Here is a 26,015-nt window from a genome sequence, read left to right on the forward strand (position 1 = left end):
AGATATCCAAAAATAACTAATTTAGAAATTAAATATACATAGTATATCTTCTCAATAACTTGGGTTATAGAGGAAACTAAAGCCAAAATTAGGAATATTTTAAGTGATTGAAATTGAGAACACTTCTGCACATGTTATCTATTGCATTTAAAATTATAGACACACACACACACACATATATTCTTTAGTCTATTTACTGGACAATACAAAGCACTAAAAAATAAATTAGCTAAACATTCAAAATAAAAAGAAATTTAAAAAAAATGAAATGATAACAATAAAAAGAAACCAAGAGCTAGTCCTTAAAAAAGAAAGACAGATGAAATGTCAAGATTCAACACTGTGTGATCATAAGTAATATACAATGATAGCAATATGAAAGCTAATGTGCCTATAGATAGAAGTTTTTAAAAGCCAAATACTCCATGTCAATGAGTTTAAAAATTAATTGAGGTTTATGTAACTATATGTATTTTATATATAGCATATATATGTATGCATACTTATGTATGTATATATATAAACCATATTTTTATATAAAACTAACTGAGGTATGTATATATTATATATGTATTTTTCAAGATAAACATCAAAAATATCTATTCTTAAATATAAGTAATAACCACTTTAAAAAATGGCGGAAAACCTTCATCAATTAGGAAAGAAAAATTGTAAAATATATTTAAAAATGAAAAGTAAAATAGTATGTTAAATGGGCTATTCAGAAGGAAAATTAGCCATTAAGGTAATTGAAAGAAAACCATGAACAAAACGTATAAATTCAAGAGAAACTCCGTAAGCAAGAGAGTGAGCCCAGAACTGTAGAATGCTTTGATTATTGTCTTCTTTTTTCATTCCAAAAGTTAGCAAAGGTGATAGTGTGGTTTAAATAACATAGAGTCAATGCCTCAGTAAAGGGCTGACACTCAGCTCTGCCACTGCCATCTAGTCTGGCACTAGAACCTCTCAACTGGCATTAATGACAGTATTATCAGCTTAAACTTTGACAATGAAGTAAACAATAATTAGAGGCAGAGTCACAGGTGGCTGGCTAACTTTATCCTGAGAGGTATCTGGAGAGGAGATTGAAAGTGATTTATGCCACAGGGGATGACATCCAAGGGAATGACTTTTCTTTTTATAAATACAAGTAGTATCTTGAGCCTGTGTGCTTAAAATCACTTCTTGATGATGTGAAAACCTTTTCAGCTACCTCTGTCCACTGATATGTCATGTGTTGGTTATCTCCAATGCTCACCTGTTGTATTAGAGAGTACCTGAAACGTGGAAAGAACATGGGCTTGGAAAGTGTAGAAATATGTGGTCCTCCTGCCTTGGGATAAAAACCGTGGCAGCTGCCCACTAGTTAAAAACGTATCCGTACTTCCTATGATAACCAGGAATGCTGGACCCTCCTAGAAGGACCACCAGTGGGAGTTAACAACCAAAACGTGGAAAATGATTAAAAAAAAAAAAGGCTAAAGCACATCACTGAAAAACTGCATAAACAGACAAAAATGTTCAGGGGAGGGGGAGATTGGAGGAGGTAAGCTTTGGAAGATTTATAAATATGAAATGTTCCAAAATTATAATGATGACAATTGCCAACCAAATGTACCCATAAATTTAAAACATTCTAAATTCAAATCTCTTTTTTTTCTTTTTAAGGAGCTGGATTCTAAAATTCATCTAGCAAATTTCATGTGAAAGAAGGGAAAATATATATTTTTAAAAATATAGATGGACCTTTTAAGTGTGAAATTAGGAGTATTAATATAAACACCATAATGGCCCACAAAAAGAACTATCTTACTCTGAAGAACAGGTGAAGAAAAGTGGATTTTCAGAGGCATCGTGAGAAGGAGAGAATTGGAAACAAAGACCATATTAAAATTATGTGAAGAGGTTATAAAAAGAGGGTACACATATTATGCAAATGGTCTTGGGACTGGAGAAAATAGCAGAACATGAGCAATTTCTACTGGCTGAAGTGACTAAGAGACTTCTAAAGACAGGAATTTCATTTTAGTCCCTTCCATTAGTCCAAACTTCCAGAAAAAGGCTCAAAAACACAAAAGACATTAAGACATCTGGAAAACAAAAAAACTTTTGAGTAAAATAATTTAGGATGAGTGCGTTCACTTCTTTCCCCCTCTCCCACCACCAAAAACATTCTAAACAATGGACAATGAATTTCTCATTAAATTGAGTGGTACCCCAGAAGCCTATTTTTAAATACTAAAGATGACTCTACAAAGCAAAACGGCTTCTAGGACACTAATGCTGACACTGAGATCACAGGTCCATAAGACTGCAGTAATAAAAACTATGAAAAAATGGATGTAAAACAAACCAATAATTTGATGGGGCTAAATAGAATCCAAGAGCAGAGTAATTAATACATAAGAATGCATTCAATAATAAAGAAGCCATTCAAAGTAGGATGGGCCCTTCAATAATATGCGTGGCAATGATTGTTTATCCATTTAAAAATAACATTAGACCCTTTACATCTTACTAAAGTAAAAGTAGAAGAATGTCTTTTTAACCTTGACTAAGGGAAGCCCTCCCTAAAGATGTCAAAACTTAGAAACCACAAAGCTCATTACTGACTAAGTTGGCTAAATGAGTAAATGATTTAAAATAAAACAAAGAAAAAATAAATTACAAAAAAGTTAACATTGATGGTGGTTTTAGAACATTTCTTTAAACTCCGACACTCCTCCCAATGAAAAGTGAAACCTAATGTCTAATTTTTCTCCCCTTGACTGTGGGTCAGTCTGAGCTACTTGTGTCTAGCAAATGGAAGATGGCAGAAATGACACTGCAAGACATTCAAGCCTTGTTCAGAAAAAGCAATTCTGTTTTTGCCTGAATCTCTCTTGTGATGTTTGCCCGTGAAACTTAGTTGCCATGTTATGAGGAAGCCCAAGCCACAAACAGAGGCCATATGCAGGTGTCTGGTAAACAGCTCCAGCTGACTTCCAAGGTGAAAGTCAGCTTAACCAAGAAACATGGAAATGAATAAGTAAGTCTTCAAAAGATTCTAGTTCCCAGTTTTTAATCTGGCTCAAATGAGGCAGGATTGACCAGAAATAAGATGTCCCCATCAAATCTTGACTAAATTACAAGTTTGTGAACAAAATAAATGTTACTATTTTTCAGGCAATGACATTTTTGAGTGGTTTTATTATGTACCAACAGATAATTAGAACAATATCCTTTGCATATCAAGAGTTTAAATACAACTAAAAATTTAAAAACGGCTTGAAAATTTTATCAAAGATGGAAAGGTAATGCATAGGAAAACATATATGAATAATACACATACCCCCAAAATGCCCAGTAATATTAGTTATTGGAGAAATTAAAATTAAAAGGATATAGTGAAAACAATTATCTCTTATTAATTTGACAGTTTCAATTCCTCACAACAAAAAGATCTGGCTAGATAAATGATACATCAGATGTATTTAACTGCCATGTAAAATATGCATGAAATAATTGTTAAATCCCCAAATCAAGATGCTAAATTGGTGAAATTTCATTGTTTGGATAATAGACTATATGTCTATAAATGCACAGGAAGTTAGTTTAAGGTACAGGCATAAGAAAAATAAGAATTGGATTTTTATTGTATATATTACTGTATTTTTTCCCACAAAGATCATCTGTTACTTTTGTAATAATAAAGAGATCAATATTTATTAAAGTCCCATTCTGTGAAGGATTGTGGATGCTTTGGAATTGGTGCCAAGAGTGGAGGGTTTTGCATAGTAAGTGCAAGTCCCTATTGTGCTATTACCAAGAGAATCCATCCCTTAACCAGGTAAAATTACTCTTGAGTTTGGGTTTCATTTTGTGTTCTCTGCTCCCATAATCAATTATACCTGTGGTCCTCAGACAAGTAAAAGCCAGAAAAAGTGGGCTTAAAGGAATTCAAAGAATGCCTGGGTCAAGGCTACTATTGACCCAAAGGAAATAGCTGTGAAGAGTATATATTTTTCCCATTTCTGGTCTTGATTTTTATTTTATTTTTTTCCCCTAGAACACAATCCATTTTGAATACATGTGATAAAAGCAACGCACATATGATTTTTAGTACTGGAAAAAAATAAGTAAAAATAAATCCATTCTGAATTAATCAGAGACTACCTACTGAACATCTGATATGTGCAAGCACTGTTATTGGTAGCCCAGATGATTATTTTGCAGAGTGATGTTGAGACAAGAAGTATTACCAAATGCTCTACACAGAGAAAAACTCCAGTAAGTATTCACTTAATTTCATTGATAGGTTCTTGGTATTGGGACTCAGAGAAAAATCCACCAAAATGAAGGCCTCAGAAGCAAAACTTTTTTTCTCTTAGCTTCCCCCGCTCTCCTGTCTCTCAGTCCCATTGTCCCTTGAGGCTTTAATATAGAACTAGGATTTCTCTTCCCCAAGGTAGGTCATAGAAACCAGAACCTCTTTTCCCAAAGCTAGCCATAAAATCTAAAAGATCTAAAAATATCACTCAAAGTTTCTCTCTGCCTTTCTGTGTAAAAAAAACTGGTCCCCCCAAAATGATCTGACTTACCTCGTTTGACTGTAAGTCACAAGACCCCCATTCCAGAGAGGGCCCTTCCCCAGGCCCAGAAGGAAAGAATGCATGCTCAGAGAGGCTGAGAAAAATCTAGACAGAGAGGCCTTACTGGATTTTCCCATTCAGTCTATTAGCATTAGACTGTATTTCTACACAGTTGTTCATACTTTGTTGAACCTAAGCATAAAAATGGACAATTTTCCCTGTATTTTGGGGTCTTCATTCAGAAGGCTCCCATGTCACGTGAAATTATGATCACATAAATTTGTATGCCTTTTCCCTTATGACTGTGCCTTTTGTGAGTTGATTTCTCAGCAAAATTTCAGAGGGACAAGTCTTGACCCTTACAATGGAAATTGCAACTTTAAGTGAAATGACACACAGCAGGTCCTCAAATAATGTGCCCCACTAAAGTGGTAAATGGTGTTCAGCCCTCATTAGAGATGATAATCATGCTCTTTAACCTAGCTCCTTATAATTATGGTACCTCTCTAATGAAGTGAAAATAATGGTATCTGCTTGGATTTTTTCCCTCACTGAAATAATTTTATAACTGCATAAACATCATAATCTTCTGAATAGCATAATAATTGTTAATATAAGGCAAAAATGATTATAAAGCCTTAGGACATAAAAAGCACATGAAACTTTCTCCAGGTTAGAGCATACAAAGGCCAAAAAACATGATTCAATAATTTTATAGGATTCTATAGCACAGTAGAGTAACTATGATTAACAATAATTTATCATATATTTCAAAATAGCTACAAGAAAGGATTTTGGATGTTCTGAACATAAAGATTTGACAAATGTTTGAGGTGATAGATATGCCAATTATCCCAATTTGATAATTACATGTTATACACATGTAAGTTTCATTGTCTTTTACTTCACAATATGCGAGACAACACATGTACCTTATATGTACAATTATTGTATCAATTAAACATGAATAAAATAATAATTTTAAAGCATTGCTATGATACAAAGTATGCTCTCCAACCACAATAGAATGAAATTAGAAATCAAACAGAGATATTTGGGAAATTTTTTAAATGTGGAAACTAAACAATACACTCCTAAGTAATCAATGGGTCAAGTAGAACTCATAAGGGAAATTAGAAAATATTTTGAGATTAATAAAAGTGAAAATACAACATAATAAAATGTTGAGATGGTGCTCCAATCTTAAACTAGAGAAAGTACAGCAAACTAAATCCAAATAGGTAGAAGGAAGAAGATAATAAAGCACAGAGTAGAAATCATGAAATAGAGAATAGAAAAATAATGGGCAAAATAAAGAACCCTAAATGTTAGTTATCTGAAACCATCAACAAAATCAATAAATGTGTAGTTAGACTAACCAAGAAATAAAAGACTCAATTATTGAAGTCAGAGGTGAAAGACGGAATGTGAATACCAACCTTATAAAAATAAAAATGACCCTAAGACAACACCATGAATAAAAATATGCTAACAAAGGAGAGAAGTTAGATGAAGTGGGAAAATTCCTAGGAAGGCACAATTTTGAAACTAACTCATGAAGAAACAGAGAATTTGAAGAGATGCATTACAAGTAAAAGAAATGCATTATTCTCACCATTATTTAATGGATGAGGTAACTACAGTTTAGAGATATTATTTATCCTAAATCATACAATTTGATGCATAGTAAAAAATGAAACCCAGTCTGTCTGCTTCTTAAAACCAGGCTCTTTCCAAACAACATTTAAGGCCCCAAATCAAATGTCCCACCTGTGAAAAAAGGATTCCCATTGAGCAGTGATTCTCATAATGTGGCCCTAGGGTCAGTAGCATCAGTAACACCTGGGAACTTGTCCGAACTCTAAATTCCCAGGCTCCACACAGACGTTTTGAATCTGAGAGCAGAGCTCTGTTTGAACAAGACTTCCAGGTGATTCTGGTAGACTATAAAGTTTGAGAACACTCATATAAACACAGCCAATATTGGGAGCACTTCTTTAGAAAATAAGATATTGAGGATGTCCTACTCTCTTTTACATTTTTTTAGGTTCTAAAGCTATCCTTCCGAAGAACAGCATCTCTTTTTAAAGTGACAAAGCAATTTTCATTGATGTTTGTAAATAGTTTTAATTAATGGAGCTATAAAATATAAGGAAAATTTAGCAAATCTCCCAGTTTGTATCAAGAACTGAGACAGTTCTAGGAAGCTGAGATTTGTTAGGATATAAAGAAGGCCTCACCCCACCCTCAAAAGTGAGAGACTTATCCCAGTATTTTGAGCCTGGCCCTGGGAGTTAGGCACAATACGTTGACGCCAAAAGCTTCAAGTCTCTACTTTGGAAGGAAGTGTCTTTTAGGTTTCCAAGGAAACAGAGATCATGTTTGAATCCTTACTTGAGCTGAATCCAATTCTAAAAATCACCAGGATCTATACCCAGAGGCATAGAATAAAATGGCTCAGGAGAAAAATAAAGTATTCCACCTGGCCACCATGGAGAAGACAAAATAATAGGTAAAAGCAACAATTTGCCAACTACACAAGTTCTCCCAATTATATGGTATAATTTTAAAAAATGGATTATTTCTAATCACCACTGCCACATATAGAGTTAACTGGAGGCAGAGAAGCAGATTCTCAGCATTTAAAACTATGTGCCTCAGGGAGATTCAAATGCACAATTGAAAATATCTTCGGAGGAAGCCCACACAGCATCAGGCAGGAGTGCAGTTTCTAAGTAATTCATAGCTGACTCTAGGGCTGGTCTGCGTGTGCATAAATACGCAATCATATATGCCAGTGTATAGATTAGTATATAAATATACATAATATATATAAAACATTAAGAGACTGAATATAGATCACATCAATTAAGAATTTCCCACATAAAAAATAAAATCTGAATTGAAGACAAAACAAGAAATTCCCTGGAGCCTTGTATTTTTAAAAAGTGATAAACTCAGCCAAACAACACATCTCAATAAAAAAACACATAATCTTAGCTAGCTGTGCCAAATGTGGTGGACCATGAAACACTCTAGGAGACTGACCTCTAAAGTATCAGCACTGATCATCAGTAAAATTTATTTATCCTATGACTTTTCAGTTAAGAAAGAATAAAAGGCACTCAGGATAGTAGAGTATTTTATCATTTTATTTTTAAAAGAAAAGTATCCATTTCAATATTGCACTGATGACTTTATTGTATTGTTTTAAAGGTGTCTCCATCAGTTATGAAAATATGAAAGTAGTTATACATATTTTTAAATTAATAGGCATTTTTAAAGCAGTTTTACATTTACATGACTTTCTCTGCAGAAAGTACAGAGAGTTCCCACATACTCCTTCCCCCGTCCCCCACCCTCCACAGTTTCTCTTGTTATTAACATCTTGTGTTTGTGTGGTACATTTGTGACAATTGATGAGTCAATGTTGATGCATTATTACTTACTAAAGGGAATAGTTTTCATTAGGCTCGCTTTTTGTGTTGTACATTCTGTGATTTTTGATGCATGAATAATGATATGTGTCTACCATTACCGTATTGCAAAAAATAGTTTTACCACCCTGAAAATCCTTTCTGCTCTATCTATTCATTGCCCAACCCTCTACTCAACCCCCAGCCCTGACCCTCTGGCAACCACTGATCTTTTTACTGTCTCCATAGTTTTGCCTTTTTCATAATGCCATGTAGTTAGAATCATACAGTAAGTAGCATTTTTAGATTGGCTTCTTTCACTTAGCAAAATGCTCTTAAGATTCATACATGCCTTTTTGTGGCTTGGTAACTATTTCTTTTTCTTAAATCACTGAATAATATGCTATTGTATAAAATATACCAAAGATTGTTTATCCATTCACCTAATGAAGGACATCTTGGTTGCTTCCAATTTTTGGCAATTATGAATCAATCTTGTATAAACATTCATGTGTAGGTTTTCTATTAATACCACCATTAGTTATAAAAGGGTCTATGTAATATTTTAATTGACACACATTTTTGGGGAAAAATGTATCTTTGCATCCGAAAGTATCTTAGGTTTTCTTATGCATACCAGACTGATGGAATTTCATCCTGCTTTTAGAAATTGGGATTGGAGAGGGAGAAAAAGTAGAATCAAAGAAGCTCATGATCAGGAAGAACGCTGGTAGCCATTTGGGTCAGCCCCTGTGTCCTCAAGTCCATGTTTGAATTCTCTCACATTTCTCTTATATTCATACATCCACTGCTGAATATAGTTTTCTTTTTGGCACACTGAATTTTTTTAAATATTACTTTTTAGATTGCACTGTCTGAATTTCTATTTCTTAGGGCTACACAGAAATAGTAGACTTAATCATCTCTCTGGCAGCTTGAGATTTTTGAAGACATTTCCACATTTGCCCAGTTCCTTCAAGCTTTCTTTGGATATGTTTCTGAGTCTTTTCATCAGTATGATCTATTCATGATTCTGGTTCAATTTTATGCCAGATTTTCACATTATTTCTACCTAAATGCAGGGAATTAATATATGTCATCCTACAAGTTAATTAGATAACATACAACGCTAAAAATTTTGGTTTTTTATTGCTTTAATGACAAAATCAAGCTAAGAATATGGCATAACTCACTGTTTATAGATCATGTTTGTTATTTGCATTGTCTACTAGAAAGATTGACATTTGCAGACATAATCTTAAAACCATGGCAAAAAAATTAAGAGTACTGTTTAAGGTTAAGGGGAAAATATAAAACTTTAGAATATCTCTCATTTAAGTGGATACAAAGTTGCAAAATTCCATAGTAAATTTATTCTATAAAAGACCAAACAATAACAAAAACCCAGAAAGATATGCAGTGGATTAAAATCACAATTTCTATATTAATTACAATGGTTGCAGTGGGTCTCAGATTGGAAAAACAGAACAGTGAATGGCGAATTAGAATAAAAGTTCTAGAAATTTCCAATTAAAAGTTTAAAATATATGGAAGAAATTCATACAGCAAAAAAAAAGAGAACTGGAGATCAATTAGAAGAAATAATATGTAAGAGAATATTGAGAAAACAAAAGAAAAAAAAGAAAACCTCTAAGATTTAAAGTCAAAGGAAACGCTAAATAGTGAATGAAATTATAGAACAGAAAGCATTCCGCTATACATATACAGGTAACCTTGTACATTCAACTAAAAAGAGATTAAACGTTTTCACAAATATCTAGGAATGAAAATCTCACAATTTATAAATAAAAAATCAGTTATAATCAAACGTCTCTTTTACAACATTAATAATAAAGTTTATCAAATTCTAAAGAAAAATAAGGAGAAAAGTTTATACCTGAGGAAAAAAGCTATAAAGACCACAACAGAAATGAAGACAAAAAGGAAACAAAAGCATAATAGAGAGAATTAATGAAGCCAAAAATTGGTAATTTGAAGAAAAGCAATGAAATTGATAAACCTCTGGGAAGCCTGATCAACAAAGCAAACAATAAGAAAACATGAATTATAAATATTAGCAATGAAAGATATACCTCACTGTGGATTCCAAAGATATTATAATGATAATGAAAGGATTCTACAAAACAATTTATGACAATAAATATGGAAGTTTAAATTAAATGAACTATTTTCTAGACAGAAACACAGATTACCACAATTCACACAAGAAAACACAGAATGTCTTAATTATATCAAACCTATAAAATAAGTGGAATCCGTAATTTAAAATTTATGTATGCTCACGTACATATGTATGAACAAATAAGCCATCTCTATGACTAGCTGGGCTTTCATGTGAATTATTATTCTAAACTTTTAAAGGAGAAATATAATAAATGTTACACAATCTCTTCCAGTAAATTGAAATAATAAAAGAGGAATGTGTCAATTTGATGGTTATAACCCTGACGTAAAAGACAAGACAAAAGAAAGAAAAGATAAATAAGGGTTTTTAAAGAATGTCAAATCAAAGGACAATTTATCTCATAATTATACATGTGAAAGTCCCCAAATAAAACACTAACAAATCAAAATCAACCATGTATAACATAATACATCACCACCAAATGGAGTTTATTTAAGAAATGCAAGGTTGGTTTCATATTTTACATTTAATATAATTCTTCATTTGAACAGGAAAAATATAACATGTATTACAATATTTAATAATACCTGTTTATATATAATAATATATAATAATTATATCGTATTTCCAGATACATCTGTCTTTATAACAACACCCTATCTTAACACAGTAATAATGTAAGTAGTAGGTAGTCTAAATGTTTTTTAGTAGTTTTCTTTTTTCTCTATTTCTTCTAAAAAAGAAGGGTTACATGTGCAGAACGTGCAAGTTTGTTACATAGGTAGACATGTGCCATGGTGATAGGCTGCACCTATTGACCCATCTGCTAATTTCCCTCCCCTCACCCCCCACTCCACAACAGACCCTGGGGTGTGTTGTTCCCCTCTCTATGTCCATGTGTTCTCATTTTTCAACTCCCTCTTATGAGTGAGAAGATGCAGTGTATGGTTTTATGTTCCTGTGTTAGTTTGCTGAGGATGATGGCTTCCAGATTCATCCATGTTTATGCAAAGGGCATGATCTCCTTCCATTTTATGGCTGCATAGTATTTCAAAGTGTATATGTACCACATTTCTTCATCCAGTCTATCATTGGTGGGCATTTGGGTTGGTTCCATATCTTTGCTATTGAAAATAGTGCTGCAATAAACATACGTGTGCATGTGTCTTTATAGTAGAATGGTTTATATTCCTTTGGTACATATCCAGTAATGGGATTGCTGGGTCAAATTGTATTTCTGGTTCTAGTTCCTTGAGGAATTGCCATACTGTCTTCCACAATGGTTGAACTAATTTACATTCCCACTAACAGTGTAAAAGCATTCCTATTTCTCCACAGCCTCGCCAGCATCTATTGTTTCCAGACTTTTTAATAATTGCCCTCAGATTGGTGTGAGATGGTAGCTCCTCGTGGTTTTGATTTGCATTTCCCTGATGATCAAGGATGTTGAGCTTTTTTGTGTATGTTTGCTGGCCATGTAAATGTCTTCTTTTGAGATGTGTCTGTTCATATCCTTTGCTCACTTTTTGATGGAGTTGTTTTTTTCTTATAAATTTGTTTAAGTTCCTTGTAAATTCTGAATATTAGACCTTTGTCAGATGAATAAATTGCAAAAACCTCCCATTCTGTGGGTTGCCTGTTCACTCTGATGATAGTTTCATTTGCTCTGCAGAAGCTCGTTAGTTCAATTAAATTCTATTTGTCAATTTTGTGTTTTGTTGCGAATGTTTCTGGCGTTTTTGTCATGAAGTCTTTGCCCATGCCTATGTCCTGAATGGTATTGCCTAGGTTTTCTTCCAGGGTTTTAGGTATTACACTTAAGTCTTTAATTCATCTTGAGTTAATTTTTGTATAAGGTGTAAGGAAAGGGTTCAGTTTCACTTTTCTGCATATGGCTAGCCACTTTTCCCACCATTTATTGAATAGGAGATCCTTTCCCCATTGTTTGTTTTTGAAAGGTTTGTTGAAGATCAGATGGGTGTAGATGTGTGGTGTTAATTCTGAGGTCTCTGTTCTGCTCCATTGGTCTATATGTCTGTTTTGGTACCAGTATCATGCTGCTTTGGGTACTGTAGCCTTGTATTACAGTTTGAAGTCAAGTAGCATGAAGCCTCCAGCTTTGTTCTTTTTGCTTAGGATTGTTTTGGCTGTACAGAGTCTTCTTTGATTCCATATGAAATTTAAAATAGTGTTTTCTAATTCTGTGAAGAATGTCAATGGTAGTTTGATGGGAATAGTATTGAATCTATAAATTACTTTGAGCAGTATGGCTATTTTCATGATATTGATTCTTCCTATCCATCAGGATAGAATGTTTTTCTTTTCGTTTCTGTCCTATTTTATTTCCTTGAGCAGTGGTTTGTAGTTCTCCTGGAAGAGGTCCTTCACATTCCTTGTTAGCTCTATTCCTAGGTATTTCATTCACTTTGTAGTGATTTTGAATGGGAGTTCATTCATGATTTGGCTCTCTGCTTGCCTATTCTTGGTGTAAAGGAATGTTTGTGATTTATGCACACTGATTTTTGTATCCTGAGACTTTGCTGAAGGTGCTTATCAGTTCAAGAAGTTTTTGGGCTGAGATTATGGAGTTTTCTAAATATAGAATCATGTCATCTGCAAACAGAGACAACATGACTTCTTCTCTTCCTATTTGAATACGCTTTATTTCTTTCTCTTGCCTGATTGCCCTGGCCAGAACTTACAATACTATGTTGAATAGGAGTGGTGAGAGAGGGCATCCTTGTCTTGTACCAGTTTTCAAAGGGAATGCTTCCAGCTTTTGCCCATTCAATATGATATTGGCTGCGGGTTTGTCATAAATAGCTCTTATTATTTTGAGATATGTTCCATCAATACCTAGCTTATTGAGAGTTTTTAACATGAAAAGATGTTGAATTTTATCAAAGACCTTTTCTGCATCTATTGAGATAATCCTGTGGTTTTTGTCTTTGGTTCTGTTTATGTGATGGGTTATGTTTATTGGTTTGCGTATCTCGAACGAGCCTTGCATCCCAGGGATGAAGGCAACTTGATCGTGGTGGATAAGGTTTTTGATGTGCTGCTGGATTCGGTTTGCCAGTATATTATTGAGGTTTTTCACCTTGCTGTTCATCACATATATTGGCCTGAAGTTTTCTATGTTTGTTGTGTCTTATCCTGGTTTTGGTATCAGGATAATGCTGGGTTCATAAAATTAGTCAGTGAGGAGTCCCTCCTTTTCAACTGTTTGGAATAGTTTCAGAAGGAATGGTACCACTTCCTGTTTTTATTTCTGGTGGAATTCAGCTGTGAATCCATCTGGTCCAGGGCTTTTTTCGGTTTGTAGGCTATTAATTAGTGCCTCAATTTCAGAACTTGTTATTGGTGTATTCAGGGATTCGACTTCTTCCTGGTTTATTCTTGGGAGAGTGTGTGTGTCCAGGAATTTATCCATTTCTTCTAGATGTTCTAGTTTATTTGCATAGAGGTGTTTACAGTATTCTCTGATGGTAATTTGTATTTCTGTGGGGTCAGTGGTGATATCCTCTTTATCTTTTTTTTATTGTGCCTATTTGATTCTTCTCTCTTTTCTTCTTTATTAGTCTAGCTAGTGGTTTATCTATTTTGTTAATTTTTTCAAAAAACCAGCTCCTGGACTCATTGGTTTTTTGGAGGTTTTTTTTATGTCTCCATATCCTTCAATTCTTCTCTGATCTTAGTTATTTTTTGCCTTCTTTTAGCTTTTAGATTAATTTGCTCTTGCCTCGCTGGCTCTTTTAATTGTGATATTAGGGTGTCAATTTGAGATCTTTCTAGCTTTCTGACATGGGCATTTAGTACTATATATTTCCCTCTTAATACTGCTTTAGCTGTGTCCCAGATATTCTGGTATGTTGTCTCTTCATTCTCAGTGGTTTCAAAGAGCTTCTTGATCTCTGCTAAATTTCATTATTTACCCGGGAGTCATTCAGGAGCAGGTTGTTCAATTTCCATGAAATTGTGTGGTTTTGAGTGAGTTTCTTAATCCTGAGTTCTCATTTGATTGCACTGTGATCTGAGAGACTGTTTATTATTATTTCAGTTCTTTTGCATTTGCTGAGGAGTGTTTTACTCCCAATTATGTGGTCAATTTTAGAATAATTGCCATGTGGTACTGAGAAGGTATATTCTGTTGATTTGGGTAGAGAGTTCTGTAGATTTCTGCTAGGTGCACTTGATCCAGAGCTGAGTTCAAGAAGTCTCTTTGCAGGTCTCTAAGAACTTGTTCTATAAATCTGGGTGCTCCTGCATTGGCTGCATATATATTTAGAATAGTTTGCTCTTTTTGTTGAATTGTTCATTTTACCATTATGTAATGCCCTTTTTCATCTGTTGTGATTTTTGTGGTTTAAAGCCTGTTTTGTCAGAGACTAGGATTGCAACCCCTGCTTTTTTATTCTTTTCCTTTTTTTTTTTTTTTTTTTTGCTTTCCATTTGCTTGGTAAATTTTCCTCCATTTCTTTATTTTGAGCCTCTGTGTGTCTTTGCATGTGAGATTGGTCTCCTGAATACAGCACACCAATGGGTCTTGAATTCTTATCCAGTTTGCCAGTTTGTGTCTTTTAATTGGGGCTTTTAGCCCATTTACATTTAAGGTTAGTATTGTTATGTGTGAATTTGATCCTGTCATCATGAGGCTATTTGGTTATTTTGCACACTAATTGATGCAGTTTCTTCATAGTGTCATTGGTCTTTATATTTTGGTGTGTTTTTGCAGTGGCTGGTACCAGTTTTTCCTTTCCATATTTAGTGCTTCTTTCAGGAGCTCTTGCAGGGCAGGCCTGGTGGTAACAAAATCCCTCATTCTTTGCTCGTCTGGAAAGGATTTTATTTCTCCTTCACTTATGAATCTTAGTTTAGCTGGATATGAAATTCTGAGTTGAAAATTCTTTAAGAATTTAAGAATGTTGAATTCTTTAAGAATGTTGAATATTGGCCCCCAATGTCTTCTGGCTTGTAGAGTTTCTGCTGAGAGGTCTGCTGTTAGTCTGATGGGTTTCTGTTTGTAGGTGATCTGGCCTTTCTTTCTGGCTGCCCTTAACAGTTTTTCCTTTATTTTGACCTTGAAGTATCTGATGATTATGTGTCTTAGGGTTGATCTTCTTGTGGAATATCTTAGTGGTGTTCTCTGTATTTGCTGAATTTGCATGTTCGCCTGTCTTGCTAGGTTGGGGAAGTTCTCCTGGATAATAGTATTTTCTAGCTTGCTTCCATTCTCCCCATCTCCTTCTGGTACTCCAATCAATTATAGGTTCTTTTTATGAAGTGCATATTTTTTGGAGGCTTTGTTCATTCCTTTTTATTTTTTTTCTCTAGTCTTGTCTGCATCCCTTATTTCAGCAAGGTGATCTTCAAACTCTGCTATCCTTTCTTCCCCATGGTTGATTCAGCTATTTATACTTGTGTATGCTTCACAAAGTCCTTGTCCTGTGTTTTTCAGCTCCATCAGGTTGTTTATGTTCCTCTCTAAACTGGGTATTCTAGTTATTAATTCCTCTAACGTTTTATCAAGGTTCTTAGCTTCTTTGCATTGGGTTAGAACATGCTCCTTTAGCTCAGTGTCATTTTTTATTACCCATCTTCTGAAGCCTACTTCTGTCAATTCATCCATCTGATCCTCTGTTCAGTTCTGTGCCCTTGATGGAAAGACATTGCAATCATTTGGAGGAGAAGAGGCACTCTTGCCTTTTGAGTTTCAGCATATTTTCATTGATTCTTTCTCATCTTCATGAGTTTGTCTAATTTTGGTCTTTGAGGCAGCTGACCCTTGGATGGTGTTTTTGTGTGGGCTTTTTTTGTTGTCGTTGTTGATGGTGTTGTTGTTGCTTTCTGATTGATTATTTTTGTATAAGGTGTAAGGAAGGGATCCAGTTTCAGCTTTCTACATATGGCTAGCCAGTTTTCCCAGCACCATTTATTAAATAGGGAATCCTTTCCCCATTGCTTGTTTTTCTCAGGTTTGTCAAAGATCAGATAGTTGTAGATATGCGGCATTATTTCTGAGGGCTCTGTTCTGTTCCATGGATCTATATGTCTGTTTTGGTACCAGTACCATGCTGTTTTGGTTACTGTAGCCTTGTAGTATAGTTTGAAGTCAGGTAGTGTGATGCCTCCAGCTTTGTTCTTTTGGCTTAGGATTGACCTGGTGATGCAGGCTCTTTTTTGGTTCCATATGAACTTTACAGTAGTTTTTTCCAATTATGTGAAGAAAGGCATTGGTAGCTTGATGGGTATGGCATTGAATCTGTAAATTACCTTGGGCAGTATGGCCATTTTCACGATATTGATTCTTCCTACCCATGAGCATGGAATGTTCTTCCATTTGTTTGTATCCTCTTTTATTTCCTTGAGCAGTGGTTTGTAGTTCTCCTTGAAGAGGTCCTTCACATCCCTTGTAAGTTGGATTCCTAGGTATTTTATTCTCCTTGAAGCATTGTGAATGGAAGTTCACTCATGATTTGGCTCTCTGTTTGTCTGTTATTGGTGTATAAGAATGCTTGTGATTTTTGTACATTGATTTTGTATCCTGAGACTTTGCTGAAGTTGCTTATCAGCTTAAGGAGATTTTGGGCTGAGACGATGGGGTTTTCTAGATATACAATCATGTCATCTGCAAACAGGAACAATTTGACTTCCTCTTTTCCTAATTGAATACCCTTTATTTCCTTCTCCTACCTAATTGCCCTGGCCAGAACTTCCAACACTATGTTGAATAGGAGTGGTGAGAGAGGGCATCCCTGTCTTGTGGCAGTTTTCAAAGGGAATGCTTCCACTTTTTGCCCATTCAGTATGATATTGGCTGTGGGTTTGTCATAGATAGCTCTTATTATTTTGAAATATGTCCCATCAATACCTAATTTATTGAGAGTTTTTAGCATGAAGGGTTGTTGAATTTTGTCAAAGGCTTTTTCTGCATCTATTGAGATAATCATGTGGTTTTTGTCTTTGGCTCTGTTTATATGCTGGATTACATTTATTGATTTGCGTATATTGAACCAGCCTTGCATCCCAGGGATGAAGCCCACTTGATCATGGTGGATAAGCTTTTTGATGTGCTGCTGGATTCGTTTTGCCAGTATTTTATTGAGGATTTTTGCATCAATGTTCATCAAGGATATTGGTCTAAAATTCTCTTTTCTTGTTGTGTCTCTGCCTGGCTTTGGTATCAGAAAGATGCTGGACTCATAAAATGAGTTAGGGAGGATTCCCTCTTTTTCTGTTGATTGGAATAGTTTCAGAAGGAATGGTACCAGTTCCTCCTTGTACCTCTGGTAGAATTCAGCTGTGAATCCATCTGGTCCTGGACTCTTTTTGGTTGGTAAGCTATTGATTATTGCCACAATTTCAGATCTTGTTATTGGTCTATTAAGAGATTCAACTTCTTCCTGGTTTAGTCTTGGGAGAGTGTATGTGTCAAGGAATTTATCCATTTCTTCTAGATTTTCTAGTTTATTTGCGTAGAGGTGTTTGTAGTATTCTCTGATTTTAGTTTGTATTTCTGTGGAATCGGTGGTGATATCCCCTTTATCATTTTTTATTGCGTCTATTAGATTCTTCTCTCTTTTTTTCTTTATTAGTCTTGCTAGCGGTCTATCAATTTTGTTGATCCTTTCAAAAAACCAGCTCCTGGATTCATTAATTTTTTGAAGGGTTTTTTGTGTCTCTATTTCCTTCAGTTCTGCTCTGATCTTAGTTATTTCTTGCCTTCTGCTAGCTTTTGAATGTGTTTGCTCTTGCTTTTCTAGTTCTTTTAATTGTGATATTAGGGTGTCAATTTTGGATCTTTCCTGCTTTCTCTTGTGGGCATTTAGTGCTATAAATTTCCCTCTACACACTGCTTTAAATGTGTCCCAGAGATTCTGGTATGTTGTGTCTTTGTTCTCATTGGTTTCAAAGAACATCTTTATTTCTGCCTTCATTTCGTTATGTACCCAGTAGTCATTCAGGAGCAGGTTGTTCAGTTTCCATGTAGTTGAGCGGTTTTGAGTGAGATTCTTAATCCTGAGTTCTAGTTTTATTGCACTGTGGTCTGAGAGATAGTTTGTTATAATTTCTGTTCTTTTACATTTGCTGAGGAGAGCTTTACTTCCAAATATGTGGTCAATTTTGGAATAGGTGTGGTGTGGTGCTGAAAAAAATGTCTATTCTGTTGATTTGGGGTGGAGAGTTCTGTAGATGTCTATTAGGTCCGCTTGGTGCAGAGCTGAGTTCAATTCCTGGGTATCCTTGTTGACTTTCTGTCTCGTTGATCTGTCTAATGTTGACAGTGGGGTGTTAAAGTCTCCCATTATTAATGTGTGGGAGTCTAAGTCTCTTTGTAGGTCACTCAGGACTTGCTTTATGAATCTTGGTGCTCCTGTATTGGGTGCATATATATTTAGGATAGTTAGCTCTTCTTGTTGAATTGATCCCTTTACCATTATGTAATGGCCTTCTTTGTCTCTTTTGATCTTTGCTGGTTTAAAGTCTGTTTTATCCGAGACTAGGATTGCAACCCCTGCCTTTTTTTGTTTTCCATTTGCTTGGTAGATCTTCCTCCATCCTTTTATTTTGAGCTTACGTGTGTCTCTGCACGTAAGATGTGTTTCCTGAATACAGCACACTGATGGGTCTTGACTCTTTATCCAATTTGCCAGTCTGTGTCTTTTAATTGGAGCATTTAGTCCATTTACATGTAAAGTTAACATTGTTATGTGTGAATTTGATCCTGTCATTATGATGTTAGCTGGTTATTTTGCTTATTAGTTGATGCAGTTTCTTCCTAGTCTTGATGGTCTTTGCATTTTGGCATGATTTTGCAGTGGCTGGTACCAGTTGTTCCTTTCCATGTTTAGCACTTCCTTCAGGAGCTCTTTTAGGGCAGGCCTGGTGGTGACAAAATCTCTCAGCATTTGCTTGTCTGTAAAGGATTTTATTTCTCCTTCACTTATGAAGCTTAGTTTGTTTGGATATGAAATTCTGGGTTGAAAATTCTTTTCTTTAAGTATGTTGAATATTGGCCCCCACTCTCTTCTGGCTTGTAGGGTTTCTGCTGAGAGATCCGCTGTTAGTCTGATGGGCTTCCCTTTGAGGGTAACCCGACCTTTCTCTCTGGCTGCCCTTAACATTTTTTCCTTCATTTCAACTTTGGTGAATCTGACAATTATGTGTCTTGGAGTTGCTCTTCTTGAGGAGTATCTTTGTGGCGTTCTCCATATTTCCTGAATCTGAACGTTGGCCTGCCTTGCTGGATTGGGGAAGTTCTCCTGGATAATATCCTGCAGAGTTTTTTCCAACTTGGTTCCATTCTCCCCATCACTTTCAGGTACACCAATCAGACGTAGATTTGGTCTTTTCACATAGTCCCATATTTCTTGGAGGCTTTGCTCATTTCTTTTTATTCTTTTTTCTCTAAACTTCCCTTCTCACTTCACTTCATTCATTTCATCTTCCATTGCTGATACCCTTTCTTGCAGTTGATCGCATCGGCTCCTGAGGCTTCTGCATTCTTCATGTAGTTCTCGAGCCTTGGTTTTCAGCTCTATCAGCTCCTTTAAGCACTTCTCTGTATTGGTTATTCTAGTTATACATTCTTCTAAATTTTTTTCAAAGTTTTCAACTTCTTTGCCTTTGGTTTGAATGTCCTCCCGTAGCTCAGAGTAATTTGATCGTCTGAAGCCTTCTTCTCTCAGCTTGTCAAAGTCATTCTCCATCCAGCTTTGTTCCGTTGCTGGTGAGGAACTGCGTTCCTTTGGAGGAGGAGAGGCGCTCTGCTTTTTAGAGTTTCCAGTTTTTCTGTTGTTTTTTCCCCATCTTTGTGGTTTTATCTACTTTTGGTCTTTGATGATGGTGATGTACAGATGGGTTTTTGGTGTGGATGTCCTTTCTTTTTGTTAGTTTTCCTTCTGACAGACGGGACCCTCAGCTGCAGGTCTGTTGGAATACCCTGCCGTGTGAGGTGTCAGTGTGCCCCTGCTGGGGGGTGCCTCCCAGTTAGGCTGCTCAGGTGTCAGGGGTCAGGGACCCACTTGAGGAGGCAGTCTGCCCATTCTCAGATCTCCAGCTGTGTGCTGGGAGAACCACTGCTCTCTTCAAAGCTGTCAGACAGGGACATTTAAGTCTGCAGAGGTTACTGCTGTCTTTTTGTTTGTCTGTGCCCTGCCCCCAGAGGTGGAGCCTACAGAGGCAGGCAGGCCTCCTTGAGCTGTGGTGGGCTCCGCCCAGTTTGAGCTTCCCAGCTGCTTTGTTTACCTAAGAAAGCCTGGGCAATGGTGGGCGCCCCTCCCCCAGCCTCGCTGCCGCCTTGCAGTTTGATCTCAGACTGCTGTGCTAGCAATCAGCGAGATTCCGTGGGCATAGGACCCTCCAAGCCAGGTGTGGGATAGAATCTCGTGGTGCGCCGTTTTTTAAGCCCGTCGGAAATGCGCAGTATTCGGATGGGAGTGACCCGATTTTCCAGGTGCCGTCCATCACCCCTTTCTTTGACTCGGAAAGGGAACCCCCTGACCCCTTGCGCTTCCCAAGTGAGGCAATGCCTCGCCCTGCTTCGGCTCGCGCACGGTGCGCACACCCACTGACCTGCGCCCATTGTCTGGCACTCCCTAGTGAGATGAACCCGGTACCTCAGATGGAAATGCAGAAATCACCCGTCTTCTGCGTCGCTCACGCTGGGAGCTGTAGACTGGAGCTGTTCCTATTCGTCCATCTTGGCTCCTCCCCCTCGTATTTTATCATTTTAAAGAATTCTATTTTAAATATATTTAGTTAAACTCCATTTGTCTTTTAAATTTATGTTTTTACCTGTAGTAATTACTTTCATCTTCTTACCTCAAGTATATTTTTAATCTGCCTTTTTATGACTTCCTCAATTACATGTTTAGTTCATTTACTTTCACATTTTTCATTTAATAATACAAAGGAAGTCAAGATATGATTTTGCCAACAAGTACAACTTTGACCAGATGCCTAGACTCCCCGTCTCCCTCATTTCTTAGACAATATGTCTTCTCAAATGTAATTGAGAGTGCGTTTTTTCCCTCATTCTCATGGGTTAAGTCTATTAAGTAAAGATTTTTCATTGTTCTTCATAGAATAAAATCTACATATTCTCCTGATTTGAAATGGACTTTGTCACAGATTTTATAGGTTATGCTTCAAAGATTTAAATGTAAATCATAGCGATGAGGAGAATGTCATAATGTCTAGAGACTTTATTATGATAGAGGCTCTAGTAAGCCTATTAATTATTGAAAAGGACTTAAATTTGGATGCAATTTGTTGAATAACAGTTTATGAGTTACTTTTTCTGTGTGTAGCAGATGTCTTTAAAATCTGCTCTTTTAAACCACAGGTGATTGCAGTTGCTTCTGCTCCTAAGGGAATTATCTCTAGAGGTGACAGCTGGTTATATTAACAAAATCCTTTGAAATTGAGCTGTGCATGTGAAAAGTGAAGTCCATAGAGTTTAGATGGAGTATCAAAACAAATAAATATTTAAACTGTTTAGCTAAAAAGTTACAGGGACATTTTCAGTGTGGGAAAGTAGGGAAGGGAAGTGAGGCAAGTGAGCTGGAAGGGAAGGAAAAAGGGACAAGCAGCATAAAGAGGCGACCTGAGAAATATCAGCCCCTGTACAATTCAGAACAGTCCATGAATATTTATTTATTTACTTATTTAAAAAATGTTTTTGAGACAGAGTCTCACTCTAGAGTCTCACTCTGTCACCCAGGCTGGAGTGTAGTGGTGTGGTCTCAGCTCATTGCAACCTCCACCTCCCAGGTTCAAGTGATTCTCCTGCCTCAGCCTCCCAAGTAGCTGGGATTTCAGGCACATGCTGCCACATCCAGCTAATTTTTATATTTTTTTAGTAGTGACAGGGTTTCACCATGTTGGTCAGGCTGCTCTCGAACTTTTGGCCTCAGGCGATCTGCCCACCTCAGCCTCCCAAAGTGCTGGGATTACAGGCGTGAGCCACCACACCTGGCCCAGCCCATTAATATTTAAAAGCATTGGTGTCAAGTATTTAATCTTAAACATTGTTCCATGGTATTTTTCTGTCATCTTATTCCTTTCCATTCCACTGAAGCTTCATTAAAAGCAACTACTAGCAACAGCCTATAGTAAGAGGGATTACAGGAAATCAAGGGCATTCGTTCAGTTCATATTCTTCCTTTCAGTTGTAGCACAGAGGAATGGACATGTGGTCTAGATTTCAGATACAGGAAAGTTTACCTGGAGGTGACTATAAGAAGTGGCAAGGGCACAGTCCTCTCATCAAAATTAGGCTATTCACATACATTTTGAATAAACGATATGGATTCTAACTGATATGACTATCATTATTAAGGTTCTACATTGTCAATATTCCTGCCTTGCCTGGCGTGCATTGACTCCAATAAAAGCTTGAAAGGGAGTTAAGGAGCCAAAAAAATTGAGCGCCAACACCTAACATATTTCTTTGTATATCTTAACCTTTTTAAGGTTAAGCTTTCCCCTTCGCCAATCATTCCATGATTTACTTTTTTTTTTTTTTTTTTTTTTTTTTTTTTTTTTTTTTGAGACAAAGTCTCCCTCTGTTGCCCAGGCTGGAGTGCAGTGGCATGATCTCGGCTCTTTGCAACCTCTGATTCCTGGGTTCAAGCAATTCTCCTGCCTCAGCCTCCCAAGTAGCTGGGATTACAGACACGTGCCACCATGCCTGGCTAATTTTTTGTAATTTTAGTAGAGGCGGAGTTTCACCATGTTGGCCAGGCTGGTCATGAACTCCTGACCTCAAGTGATCCACCTGCTTTGGCCTTGCAAAGAGCTGGCATTACAGGCTTCAGCCACCGCACCCGGCCCCATAATTTACTCTCGATTCCAGCTTTTTGTTGCCACCTCCTCGTCAAAGGACTAAGATGAGCTAAGATAGAGAATTTAAGATATTATTGTGTGCATTCCATTCCTGCATAACCATAGTGGAACTCTCTTTGCTGTCACTAAATATAGAGACTTTATTTCTGTTTCTTACTATCCAGTCTCACCAGCAACATATTTTGTAGGAAATCTGCCAAGTTCCTGACTCATAGATGCAAGCTTCTATATTTTACAGGTTGATAGAGTTTGTTTATTTTAATATTTCTTTGTGTGTGTGTGTGAAGACCCCACATTTAGGTTACCTGATGCACAGTAAGCCCAACACTAACATATTAGTGCTTAGGAGCAGAGAAAGGTTTGATTTGGCTAAAGTGTGAGGGTGGGAGAGACAAATTTGTCAAATCCAGCATGCCTTTGAATATAACTGGCAGCTCTTATGAGTAAGGTAGGTAGTGGGAGGTGAGATGCCCTGAGGATCAAATCTGCTGTGTCTCTTGGTCCAGTCAAACTTCTGGACAGCATCAAAAAGTCTCCATGACCTAAGAATCATTGTTCTTTGAAAGAAAACCAAGTGCATTACTTTTTCAGGTAGCCACTAGGGGTTAGGATATTGGCCAATTATTCGTGACTACTCTCTACTGAAATGAATATGTGCAAGCAAGCATGCACACAGGAAAAAAAAAGGACAAAGAAAAAGGAGAATAAGTAAAACAAACGTCTTAGATTTTTATAATATAGGCTCAGTAACAATTTTGGAAAGAAATTGAACAGTCTCAAATCACTGTTTGAAAACGAAAGCTAATTTTTCTAAAGAGGAATGAAATCTAGCCAGCCTTGTTCTTGGCTATTTGAACAGTATCTCTCTCACATTCTTTGTTTTTTCTTCCCAGTACACCATCACATGATTCATTCAAGGCTTGCAGCCTCACGCTTGGAACTTATCCGTAGACTCCTACTTCTAGTTTATGAGAAATGTCACTCCATATTCACATTAAAGGTGGATTTTCCCTGTCCATGCCATATATCAGGGAAAAGTACACTGTTTTCTAAATAATATTTCTCTAAGCTCCCTAATTAAAATAGTTTACTATCTGTCATTCTTATTTAAAGAATCATTGGTATCAGTGTATAAAGAAATAAACTTATTTCGCTCACATTAGCTCAAATATGGGCTCCTTAGCAAATGTCTATAGAATACCCATGCTTTGTGTTTTAGTTTACAGATTGTTTTTCATATGTACTACATCATGATGCTTAAGGGTCCTTCTCTGTCTCTGCAATGCGGCTCCTTAGGCCACTGCTCAATGGCATCTCTTTTGAAAGCCCACGCCATGTTCCTCACAACTCTCTCTATACTTCCCTGTTCTACCACCTGGGACACTACTTCACGTCCCTCAAGGACTTTAGCACCTGCCTCCCACCCTTACTTTCCAGCCCATTTGATCTCTGCTATTTTTCCAAGTGACCCACGTCATTAAGGGGGTGTCCCTGCTAACTGTCAATCTCACAGTTCCTGGGTCTCCTCAACAAAAGTCTTCAATTCCATCAGTCCACACCTCTGTGGAGGCATAGCTCTATTTCAGCCTTGTCCTCGCCAAAAACATCCTACATACAAACTTTCTTAAGCAAAGTTTTCCCCTCTGATCAAATCTCAAGCCCAATATTCATTTAGCCATTCACTAATTTATTTACTGTCCCTAATGACTCCCTGCCATGTTTCATCAACCCTAGATCCACTATCAGGCAACTGAACCCCCACTTTCTGCTCATTAGAGTAGGTCCTGCTCGAGTCCTAAGCCCCAAATCTTATTATAAAAATTTAATCACTTTATAACATAGCACTAAAAGCATCTAACTGGTGAAAATTCTTTTATGCTTCTCTCTGATTTTGTAGATTTTGAGATAAGATTTTTAAGGAGAAAAATCCAAGGAAGAATGCACCCATTATTAGTACATGAGGATACTTGAGAATGTTAACATTTTGATAACAGACAGACATTAAGAAAATATTTCATGTTATTTTATCAATGTATTCTAGTAGCCCATGTACAACATGTAAATGAACTCGTAAACATAATTTCCACATTCAAGGGAAATGGAAGACGTAATTTGTTACTTACTGCATAATGGGGAAAATGGAAATTTATAAAACCACCTAAAGAACTTTAAATATATCAGTGCCTGGACCCCATGACATATCAATTAAATCAAAATATCTGTGGAGGGGTTTAGGCATTCGTATTTATTCTAATTTGTACAGGTGAGTTATAAGACTCATCCAGGGTTGAGAAGTACTCATCTATGTAAAAGATCTACTAACTCTGACAGTAGATCGTTCTGAGAACCATCAGAAGCCGTGGCAGTGTTAAGGGTTCACATGTTTATTTTCTATTTCCTGAGATTTAATTTGCCCAGATGGCTTCCTAATTGATTTGTTTTGCTTCAGGTTAGTTGAAAATCTCACTCATTCAAAATGAACCCAAAATGTACCATGCATTTTAATTACTGTGGTGATTTTAGCTTAAATCTAAGCTTTTATCATACAGTGATAAGAACATACAGAACTTCTGCTAATGTGGAATAACACTTGAAAATTAAAATATTGGTTTCCAATTTCAGCTTTTCACACAGAATCGTGATTTTATTGTTTATTAGCTAATGTATTCAGAATGACTCAACAGTAGTCCACCTTTATCTGGGCTTTGCTGTCTGTAGTTTCACTTACCCATGGTCAACTACTGTCTGAAAATATTAAGTAGAAATTAATTAAATGGAAATTTCCTGAAATAAACAACTCATAAGTTGCACACCATTCTGAGTATTGTGACAAAATCACATGCTGTCTACTTTGTAGAGTCACTATTTGTCCAGTGACTTCATGCTGTCTACACCACCTGCCCTTTGTCACTTACTAGCCCTTTTGGTTACCAGAATGACTGTTCAGATAGCCCAATACTTGTGGTCAAGTAACTCTTATTTTACTTAATAGTGGCCCCAAAGTATAATAGTAGTGATGCTGGCAGCTCAGCT

This window comes from Homo sapiens, chromosome 10 (assembly GCF_000001405.40).
Source record: "Homo sapiens chromosome 10, GRCh38.p14 Primary Assembly".
NCBI lineage: Eukaryota > Metazoa > Chordata > Mammalia > Primates > Hominidae > Homo > Homo sapiens.